The sequence below is a fragment of the Homo sapiens genome, chromosome 10, assembly GCF_000001405.40.
Source record: "Homo sapiens chromosome 10, GRCh38.p14 Primary Assembly".
NCBI lineage: Eukaryota > Metazoa > Chordata > Mammalia > Primates > Hominidae > Homo > Homo sapiens.
This window is the reverse complement of record NC_000010.11, coordinates 64,840,506-64,852,596: the sequence shown is the minus strand read 5'-3', so window position 1 is coordinate 64,852,596 and position 12,091 is coordinate 64,840,506. Positions and strand designations below refer to the sequence as shown.

The 12,091-nt window shown below is 34.0% G+C and overlaps 1 long non-coding RNA gene across 1 annotated transcript in view, besides 1 other annotated feature; it reads right to left on the bottom strand.

Moving 5' to 3' along the window:
• The window catches only part of LOC105378336 (uncharacterized), an 88,286-nt gene that overhangs the window by 50,643 nt on the left and 25,552 nt on the right, over positions 1 to 12,091 (bottom strand). The gene's annotated exons all lie outside the window — the stretch shown is intronic.
• Positions 10,954 to 11,123: an enhancer, noted in NCBI's record as "experimental_14285 CRE fragment used in MPRA reporter constructs". NCBI's record gives its function as "activates a minimal promoter by MPRAs in K562 erythroleukemia cells, with activity observed for both the introgressed and non-introgressed 10:66601316 variant alleles {active_cell/tissue: K562}" and the evidence as "EXISTENCE:reporter gene assay evidence [ECO:0000049][PMID:34662402]".

The following is a 12,091-nucleotide window of genomic DNA, read 5'->3' as shown; positions in this document are numbered from 1 at the left end:
TGCATGATTATAACAAATGCTAATGAATTAGCTTCAGCTATCCTCGTCACTTCTAGTCTTTCCCACACAATTTTTCAAAATAATTAGCAAAAGATATGGAGGCAACCTACACTTGTGACACACATCATGTATTATAGATTAATTCTATCTAAGCTAACATTGTTCTCATTAATAATATGCTTACACCAACCATGTCAATTATTAGAAAAAGCTAAGAATTACAGAATGGGCATATATAGATTTGCCAGTGTGCTACTCTTCACTTTTTTAATGACTATAAATTCAGTTTCAGTTAGTGCTTATTTAAGAATTGGCACACTCAATTAGTGATAAAAATGTCAAACATTCACTGAGTCAGGTATTAATATTTTAAAACACTTGGAGGCCGGGTGTGGTGGCTCACACCTGTAATCCCAGCACTTTGGGAGGCTGAGGCAGGCAGATCACAAGGTCAGGAGTTCAAGACCAGCCGGGCCAACATAGTGAAACCCCATCTCTACTAAAAGTACAAAAATTAGCCAGGCATGGTGGTGTGTGCCTGTAGTCCCAGCTACTTGGGAGGCTGAGGCAGGAGAATTGTTTAAACCCAGAAGGCGGAGGTTGTGATGAGCCGAGATCGGGCCACTGCACTCCAGCCTGGGCAACAGAGTGAGACTCTTGTCTCAAAAAAAAAAATCACTTGGAGAGTACAAAATTAAGTACTTTATTTACACTACATTTTATTTGAAAAATTTTGTCCACAAAATGAATTATCTATGATACTTGGTTCTCTAAAGTGTAAGTGTAAACACATTTCTTTATACCAATATATATGCCTGTGTACAAGTGTATATATGTTCATAAATGTATACCCACATACATATATACAGTATATGTGTACATATATATTCAGGTAAGTATATGTGTGCACTGTGTGTATATATGTGTGCATATGTATGTTGTATATACAAATGTGTGTGTGTGTGTGTGTGTGTGTGTATATATATATATTCAAATAAGGGTCACAAATATGCCAGAATGAAAAATAACAAAACATCGGCTTAAGTAGAGACCAAGCAACTATGACATGCTTTCACCTAAGATTCTATGAAATAACAAAATAAATGTAAAAAGGCCAAATGAATTTAAAGCATCACAGGGAAACACAAAACAGCATCATTAAAAACAAAAAAAAATCCAGAAAGATAGAAAGGAAATAGGTTCAGATAATCAGATAATTTTAAAATGGAAGCTATAATGGCACAAATGCAGTAAGGGTAAAATACATTCATTATAAACTCCTTAGCACTTAAGCAAGCTAGCCCAACTCATACAAAAAGTGGCACAGGGCCCATTTGGAAAAACAAACTGGTTGACCTCTCCCTCTCCTGGATTTGTACTAAGCAATAAGTAAAAATGTCATTAACCCACAGGTTAAGCAGTTAGTGTGGAAATTGGAATAGCAGAATCAGGAAAATGTCTTCAATAGCTGCTAAGTAGGTAACAACCACCCTGAGATGACAATCACTAAGAAACTGAGACTTAAATCATGTAGCATACATTACTGCTATTTTACTCCACTGTAGACTAAACTGACATGTAATTTATAATCAACACTTTAAAACAACATGCAGACAATCAAGATTCATAAGATAATTGAGTAAAAACATTGAAAGAAGGCACTCACCTAGACCAATTGATCACACTTAAAATAAATTTGTAGTGCAAACAAGTTAATATCAGAATAAATATCAATACAATTCAAGTTATCTACCTACCTCAAACCTCACATAACTAATGCAAGAGGGATTGTGGGCTATAGGTAAAACATAAAACAATAACGTTTTCAGGTAAAAATATAAGAAAATATATTTACAACCTTAGGGAAAGCAATGACTACTTAAGTAGTATAAAATGTAGCAACTATAAAGAAATGCCAATAAAGTAGTTTTAATCCAAATTCAAAACATTTCTAGTAAAAGATGAAATTAACTGAGTGAAAATGCAAGCCGAAGTCCAGGAGATGTCATGTGTAACATTAATGTTAGACAGTGAAATCTATCCAGAATACATCAAAACATGTTACAATTTAATAAGATAATGTGGTAAAAATGGACAAAATCTTGAGAAGACACTTAACCACCTTAAATATGCCTACAGCCTGTAAGATATGAAAATCATTTACCATTATTAATCACCAGGGAAAAACTAAAACTTTAATGATATACCTCTACAACTCTCATTAGATTAACTATAAGAAAAGAGAAAACTCAAGGTTTAAGGGTATGTAATAAGTAGAACTCATACATTGCTAGTGGTGTATGTTAAAGACAAACACACACAAAAAATTGTAACCCAGCAATTCCCTCTTTGCTGCACACCACACAGAAAAATACAGAAATGTACAAACATGTCCACAGGTGTGTTTGTAGTTGTTTCTTTATCATTTCATCTTTTTTCTATAACCAAATATTAAATGGGGGAAATTCTGGTGAGGGTTAAAAATGTCATTTAGATATTTTAGAGATTTTGATAGATTTGATAGATTTCCTATTATTAGAATATTGGCAAAGATAAATGTCTTTCTTTTCATAATTTTTCTGCCAGAGTACTAGTTTTCTCTTTCCCCTACTTCCCTTTTTTCTTTTTCTCTCTGTATTCCAAAATAAACACTTGTTATTCCGTTTATCATTCATTTTTGCTCAGTCTTTTAAAAAGTAATTAAGTATATTAATTTTATATTGTCTATTGTCTACTATATCACCATGTCTTAGCATATATCGATGACTTAATAAATGTTTATTGAATGAAAGTATGGTATTTTTAAATGAGTAACTATGGAAAGATGTGGAAAAAATTGCAAAACGCAATTGTAAAATGACTATTTAATCACCTTGGATTTCTGTTTATTGCATCTCTATTTTCTCTGTTTCTCTTATTTCTTCAAAAGTGATGCATAAATGACCACATCCTGGTTTCAGTGTCCTTCTGTGCTTCATCAGTAATACATAGTAGCCTGCTTATGTTAAATGTGCTCATCAATGTTCATGATGTAGTATGAGCTTACTTCTTCAAGATGCACTCATTACACTGGTGATCTTGACTGGCTTATTCCTGGTGAGATGAGTAAACTCACTGAAAGGAAACTTGTTGGAAAATCAACTGGTCAATTCAAGAAGTGTGGAATCACAATGTTCAAGTCTCTCAAACTACCTTTAGAAGAACCATTTCTAGTTATTTTTATTTTTTTATTTTTTATTTTTTGAGATGGAGTCTCTCTCTGTTTCCCAGGCTGGAGTGCAGTGGCACGATATCGGCTCACTGCAAGCTCTGCCTCCCAGGTACAAACAATTCTCCTGCCTCAGCTTCCCAAGTAGCTGGGACTGCAGGTGCCTGCCACCACGCCTGGCTAATTTTTTTTTTTTTTTTGTATTTTTAGTAGAGATGGGGTTTCACCGTGTTAGCCAGGATGGTCTCAATCTCCTGACCTCGTGATTACTCGCCTTGCCCTCCCAAAGTGCTGGGATTACAGGCATGAGCCACCACGCCAGGCCTCTAGTTATTTTTTAAAAAATTCCTTAACTATCATGCACTGATACAATCAAAAGAAATTACTAGGTTAAGAATTGCATGCTTAAAGGTCAAACTGCTGTGAAAGTTTCCAAATGCTCTTCTTTTTGGTAGTTTTCTCTTCATAGACAGTGGTGAGCAGTTTGCAGACACAGGTCCATTGACCACACTTTGAGTATTGATGCTGTGAATTATATAGGAGGGGGTAAAGATCAGGGTTTCAGCAGAAAACCAATGGCATAATCAAATTGATGCTATTCAAAGAGGTTTCAGAATAGGAGTTATTTGCAAATGTATGGTCAAGAAATAGAGAAAAAACAAGAGGTAGTAATAAGAATTTCTATCACAGATGAGAATTTTTAGTCTCATAGAAGTAAGTTTTCACAACAGATAAGCTCTTGACCCAAGATATAACCTCAATCAGGCTGACCTCCAAAGAAATGTAAAAAATAATATTTTGAGGGAGCCTTAATTGAACACCTGAAACATAAAAAGATTAGGGATGATATATTACTTGGTCTATGAATAAGTATAAAACAATCGAGTATAGGCTGAAACATAAGCACTAGAGAGACAGAGGGAGGGTGATCAAAAGAAAATGGTCAAGCTAAGAAATATATATCTACTGAAGAAAATTACTGAGTTCCAGGGCATGTTAGAAAGAAAATATTGACAACGTAACATTGAGGAAAAGGATTATTGAAGAGTTGAAATGAAGCATGAGAAAACTCAACCAGGTGTGATCCAGCAATTTGTATTTGGAAGTGTGCAAAAGGTTTCCTCAATCAATGCAGAGTATACGCTGAGAAGTAATGTGAGATGACTCAGAAGTGGCCTCACTGTCATCATTTAGGGACCTGCACACTAGCAGGTCGCAGATTAAATAAATATTTTTTAAAAGATTACTGAAATAAAGACTTTCTTTAGGTGTGCAATTTATTATTTTATGCTCTATTGGTGAGTAGTGAAACAGAACTCTACAGGTTTCGTGTTCAAAATAAATCGGGGCATGGAAAATTGTTACTGCTCCCACTTCAATAACTAGCTAAGGAAATTTATTCTGAGGTTTAATGGAGTCTTTGAAAAAAAAGTTTGTTAAAAAGCAGCATCAGCACCTTTCAAAGTTTGTCATTTTCCATCTGTCACTCTGCCATAAATACCTCTTCATTTATATTATTTTTGCAAAATTAGACATAAAACATTTATTGTAGATAATAATGTCTGTCTCAATTTGTTATCCAAACTGTAAAATAAATCCAAATATGCAGTTAATTGATATTTAATAACAGTTGCATATTTGGTTAAATTATAAATCACAAGGACTTTGAATCAAAGCCTTTCACCAGGCAAGTACATAATGCACCCTTAACAGGGATTAATATTCCAGTCCTAACGATTTGAAAAAACCTATAAGCAAACACATCACCATCCAAATTATTCTCGTTCAAAAAGTTATAAAATTCTTGCCAGGTTTCTCAAATAAGATGCATGAAAAGATAGCCCTTCTTTTGTGCAGTTTATACTTTAAAATGTTACATGATTGTTACAGTCAATTCCAAAGACTAAAGTTTCAACTGTCAACCTGGATGCAAACAATGAGTTTATTGTGTTAAGGAGGTCCTATCAATAAAATTTACATATTTAAATATATTTAATTTATATTGAAAGCTTTTGATTTTAGTCCTTATTAGATTGTTGACTTACGCAGACATACTTTCAAGGTATATTAATGTGGTTCTAATAAAATATGGAATTGTAGGACAGCATTTTAAGGTGTGTTAATTGAGCAGCTCTTAATATTTTCTGTGTCATCAATGGCTACTGTTTCATGCCCTAACTGTGCAAAAATATCAGGAAAATTTTGCTTTTCTGAATAGATGGTAGAGAACGAATAAATGAATGCAACTGTCAGCATGACACACTCTGACAGTTTTTATTTGTAGTATGTTTTAACTTTAAAAAGTATAAGCCATAAAAATTCAACATGTTGAAACAATTAAAAATGTAACTAAACATAAAGCTAAACAGGTGATATTACAACTCATGTGTTTTCTATTAGATACCCATAGTCTGCAAGTTAATTTAGTTAGACCAATGTATCCGCATCATCAACAAAAATATTCATGATCATTATCACTTTTCAGCTGGCAGAAATTTGCAACAGATGTTATGGAAGTTTTCCATGTTTATATTCAGAGATGTTCAACATTCCCCTGTGAATTCAAAATAGGGAAACACAATGAATCATGTCCCTGCAGTCATAGCAAACCATACTTTGCATCATAATAACCATTTGTCTAGCGCAAATTCATTTCAGATTTGTTGCCCCTCAAAGGTAAAGGAGTTAGAAAACAGTTGGGTCTCCATAAAAATGCTCTTCCTATTGCTCAGACTAAAAAGTAAAAAATAGTTTTGTTTATAAAATGTCATCTAGAATCTAATAACCAGAGGATATCTGTTGTGTTCCATTTTATTGTTTAGCTTACATATTAATACAATATTTATTTAAAGATTATAACCCTTTATTACCACACCTTTCCAAATTAATTAAGAAAACCAATTTTTTTGTGTTTCTAAAGTGGAGAAGTACCTTACTCAGTGTATGAAACAGAGCAAGTAAATATTTTAAAAGAGCAAAAATAACTAAATCCCCTGATGTTATCAGACACCCAAATGAGCTTGTAACTACAATTTAGCATTGCACTTAGCACTGCATTTACTCATAGCAATGTCAAAAAGTAGCTCATCTTACAAGCATAAACGTTTTTCTAATATCAATTCTGAGAAGTAATTACTGTGTGGGTCTTGATATAAGCTGTGAATAATGTAATAGATGACATTTTCAACTGAATTTTCAGTAGAAATAAAAGCGTTCCTAAATGGTATAACTTAAATCACTATTGATAAACACTGAAGAAATGGCATTTAATTTTAAACCCCAAAGGCATGGAAAGCTATGAAGGCATTAGAACGGATATATAAATTTCTGGTGATGTTAGTAAATAGATGATTAGAGATCTCTAGTAAGTGAGTTCTAGCATGGTTTCTCAACATTATTTCTTTGAGTTCTAAGTTATCAAGATAGTCTATGATTAAAATGTTCCTTATTTACATAATGTTGGGAGTCATTACTTGTTTTCTGATTTTCTAAATTTTCAGAATTCATATTAGTCCATTTGAGAAGTTCTGCACGAAAAAAGCTGGTCATATTTGTAAAATTTGTATTCTAAAGGTCATTTAACTTTTTTCCTATAACATGTATTAAACTAGCAATGTCTTCTTTAATTAATATTCCAGAGGACAGATTTTGAAACTTACTTAAATGGCAGGACTGGTAAGTGACAGGTGCCCAAATAAAGTAAGTCAACTAAAGTAGTTGACCATCATGATTGGTGATCACATCATAGTTGTCTTTTCTGATGGGTACCTAAAAGGTCAGCATTATATTTGTTGTTTTTCATAGTGATGAAGCAGCTTTATATAACACATATATGAGACAAAACATGGACACTTCCTAGGGAAATTAAGAACATAGAATATGAACTTACATGGAAGACAAACTTGTCTTGTGCCAAGAGTTGAGTCAAGAGTTCTGTTGGAAAGACATTTTTATTTTTAATTAAAAAGGGCTTTGAAAATGCTTAAATTCTTTCAGGGAAATAATGATTGAAAGTATCTTACGTTAGATTCTAAGAACTGAAACTTGATATGAGGATTCTTGTCCAAGTGCTCTGTAAGGAAGAGAGGAAAGCAGGACGGGGTGGCACAAAACACTAAAGATAGTTAGATGTCCTTTCAACCCAAAAGTCTGACCTCAGCCTGATACTGCAAGAGACTCTATAACATGCTCTGGGGATTAAAGGAGGGAGTATGGCCTCTTCAGGCATCTCCAGGAATGAAGCCTGAGCAATTCTCTAGAGGAGGGTAAAGCTGTAACCTAGAGAAAGCCAATACTCTCTACCTGGTAAGAGGATATGAGGAGAACCAGCAGCAAACAGCATCTACTACAGATGTACTTTAGCCTGTTAAATTTTAAAAGTTTAGCAGTCTTTTTTATAAGTAGTGCCATCGACAGTTCATTAATATAAAGCTCAGGAAATGATTATAAGGCAATGAGCTAAAACTTAGTCACCTCCATGAACAAACAACAACATATTTATATATTTCAAATGCCATAAGGTTCAAGGAATTCAACAAATTGAAAACTAAACTACTATTCCAACTTAGCCTAAGCCCTCCTCCATTGCAATGGCACTACCATCTGTGAACAAGCTCTCTTTGGTTTTACTATGAAATATCTCTTGAATCCATTTGCTTTCTTTTTTTTAAATTGTTTCCCAGCTTTATTGACAAAAGTTATATATGTTTATGGTGTACAACATGATGTTTCAATTTATGTATACATTATTAAATGAATTGAGTCCATTTGTTTTCATTCATTCCTTAGCTACAAATTGTCAATCAAAACTATCATCTGTCTAGCTTAAATTTCAGAAAATATCTTATGTGTTTCATTGCATTTGGTTTTAATCCCCTTTAATACAGTTCCACACCACAGCTGGAGCTATCTTTTAAAAGCAAATCTAATCTTATATCCTTCCCTTGTAAAATTTACATTGGATTTCTGTAGTTCTGAGGACAAAGACTCAAACCATATATTTGACAAACTTCAAAATATTAGAAAGTCCTAAGGACCAACCCTTAGCTCTGTTGTTTTCACCATCTTCACTCACTGCCAGTTCCATGCTGAGGATACCTAGTTTTATCTCTCTAATCCCTACTTTGCCTTTGTACTCCAGACTTATGGATCCAAATTGCCCACTCAACATCTCTACTGGCTATTTAATAACTAGTGCAATATCTATTGTTGACATCTTTTTTCTTACCGTATCTACATAAAATTCATCAACACTACCATCAGCTTTTCCAGAATCTGACTCTTTTTTACAACCTCAGCATTCTAGTCTAAGCCACCATCTTCAGTCATCTGTATTTTTTCATCATAACTAATCTCCAAATTCTATTCATGTCCCTCAACATACCCTATTCTACATACAGTTGTCACCATGATCACCTTAAATACAAATCAACTGTACAAGTCCTTTTAAAACTATACAATTTATCTTCACTTTGATCCATCTAAGTCCTTCACTTTGTCTAAAGACTGTACAGGTTCCACTCCTGGCTAACTCTCTAAATTTCTCTCTCATAATTCTCTTCATTCTCATGCTATTCTAACCGTACTTAACTTTTTTCTGTTCCTCTCTCATATTTTCCCAGAATGTCGAGATAGCTTGCTCCCCTCTTTCAGATAACTGGTCAATTATTACTTTAAAAAAGGCACCATTCTACAACATTGCTCTATATCACATTACTCCTTTAATGTTGTTCATAATTATTATCAGCTCCAGATCTCTATTTAGTCAGATTGACTTCAACATAAAGCACCTTCTTTAAAAACAAGATCTTCATTTTGTTTAATTTGTACTCCCTAGTACTAAAAGTAGTGCCTGATACATAGTATTTGTTAAACAAATATTTTTGGTAGAAGTTATCGATGCTGATTCAATTTTTATTCATTCAACTAAGCCAATATAACCTTTCTCAGTTTCTTTGAATATGTGTCAAGACACACAACCAGATACTTTTCTCTTGCTTCCTTTATATTTCTTGGAATTAAAACACTTACATATATGACTAAAAGCCAGTATATAGAGAAAGATAAAATCACATGTTCTATTCTCTATGTGTATGTTTCATATCACAAGTAAAGGTTTTCTTTTCTTTCTTTCCTATTCTTTAGTTCCTATGATAAGTCAATGAATGGAGCACTACTTAACAAATTGTTCTAAATTTCAAAGGGAAAGTATTAGTATATTTTGGTAAAATGGCTACCATTGTGAACTATTGTCAAGTTAACTTGAATCAATAATGATGCCATATCCAAATAAGAATGGTTATTATACTGTTTGTTGTAAAGTTTCACTCAATAAAATTTTATTGTGGAAAATCTCTATAATACAAAAATTTTAAATCAACATTAGGGTAGATTACTTCATTTCATTTATGACAGCACTAAAATATGCAATAGGATTATGATGTTAAATTCCTGTGGCTGGATTTCAATGCTGTTCATTATCTGGCTCCACCTCGCCTCCCATCACCCATAAACTTCATTTCAGACTATTCCACAGTGGAATACTAGGTTAGTTTTACCTACACAACTATGTGCTCTTTCCCACTTGTCAGACTTTTCATTTGATTTGATCATAACACAGAGAAATCAATTTGGCTAAAAGCAATGTAAACTTAGTAGTGGTAATAATGAAATAGGGATTTATTTTTCTTATAAGAATGCTATAGGTCAAAAACTCAAGACAGAAACAGTGTCTTAATACGTTGGTATCCTAGGTTCCTGTTATATTTTTCTCCATAATATTTAGCGTCTTGACGTTTTTTCTTCCTGATTATTGCCTTATGGTTTCAAGGTGGCCACAAACCATTAGACTTCAAATACATCTTCCAGGTAGGATGGAGAGAAAAAAAGCAAAAGGAAAAGCATAGAGGCTAAAGGACTTTCCCTTAAAGAAGCCTTAGTGTGTATTGGGAAGGATGCCATTTCCAGGGAGCTTTGACCACATAATACTGACATAAACATGACAACCTACCACTCAGTACATTTTGCCAAGCTCCCAAGTATAGGCCATGGACCTCACTCTGAGTAGTAAATTATATACCAAACTTTAAAAAATTATAATATAATCTAAGTCCTCCTCAGGTTCGTATACAAACTTGCCTCTCTAGGCAATACATTTAACATTCAGTTTTCCTATATCTAGGCTGCGGATAACAATAAAATCAAATTATGGTTATGAAATAAAATTAAATTACAGTTTATATGAAGCACTTGCGCATAGTGACCATCCCCCCAAAGAATTGTTCGATTTCTTTTTAGCAATTTCTGATATTTGTATTATTACCATCTGAAGCCAGCATTTTCCAAGTGTTTTCCATGATATAATAAAAACTGTTATCTAAGAAAATAATAATAATATATTTGGAAAAAAAACCTGGGTTAAATAGATAACCAAATTAAAGGACCTGAAGAGTCTAATCATAAATAAATTTTCCCAAGCCCTATAATTTACTAATATGATTTATGAATCTCCAATAAGGACTATGACAATTAGCATTTCACAAGACTATCAACCAATAAAGCCATTTTTTTTTTTTGTGAGCAGAGCTCACGAAATTATGGCAAAGCCATAACATTCTCAAATTCCCTCTTAGTCTATGTGACGATTCTTCTTAAGTTTGTTCAGGACCTTTACGACTATGTGCAGCAACTCTTCACTGATACCTACTCTTGGAGCACAGTTTGAGAAACAATTCAGGAGACACCTGACATAATTTAGGTGAGAGAGCCCATTAGAAAGAGGGGATAGTGATGGCCTTCAGAAGGAGGGTCATGAAGGCTTTACAGAAATACAGAAGGGGGAAAAAGAAGAAATAGGAGAAGCAGAAGGCAGGAGAATATCTATACCCAGGAAGTTCTATGAACATCTCTTGATTCTTGTGCATTTCGTACCCTTAAACTAAGGAAAAGGAATTCCTTCCTAGTACAATTTTACCAGAGATGTTGTGATATTGTTATTTATGTGGTTCATAGTGACTTGTTTTACAGGCTTTCTTTTACTAAAAAAAATAAGTGAATGATCAATTAATCTGGTTATATTATGCTAGAGGGTGAAATTATATTTACACACATCCATATTAGACAAATAAATACTGAGTTGATGTGCAGATGAAAGTGTCAACTGTGATACCAAAATCAAGAGCATTGATAAAACAAGATGATACAGATTAATTAGAAATTATTCCCTGGAAAATCACCCTGTCTTCCCTCTTTGTCATCCCTCCAATATGAGGCCCAGTGAATTTGTGATTGGTGTTCAAATAATACACTATTTTCCTACGCAAAACATTGTAGCGCCCTGAGGAGGAAAAGGGCAACTGTTTTGGAATTAAACCATGTATCCTTACATATGTCCAAACAAATATCATTACTGACGCTAGGAATTTAGAGCTCCATTAGTAAATGGGAAAATATAAAAATTGAAATTAATCATAAGAAAATGGCTTCTCAAAACACCCTTGCAGTCCTATCTGATAAAACTCAAATATTATTCAAAAGATTATTTTGAAAGAGCATCGAAAGGGAAAGCTAACACTAAGATGAAAGTCACTGGCACTCACAACATATTGTGCACCACTCTTAGAGCCCAAGAGCAGATGGATCATCATCGTGAAGTCCTGACATTCTTCCAAGGGTGTACATTATTGAAATTGATGCGGGATTTTTCTCGGCCCCTTTGCCGGACTCATGGCAGGGGTGCCACCTCTACCCCTCCCCCGGTACTCAACCCCCTGTGGAAGGGAGCACGTGAGTGAGCGAGTGCAGGATTCAGCTGGCTGCTCTGGGTGCTGACACAGGAACAAGCTCCGTGCAGGACCCGTGGCCAGACCAGCTGTGTCACCTTGA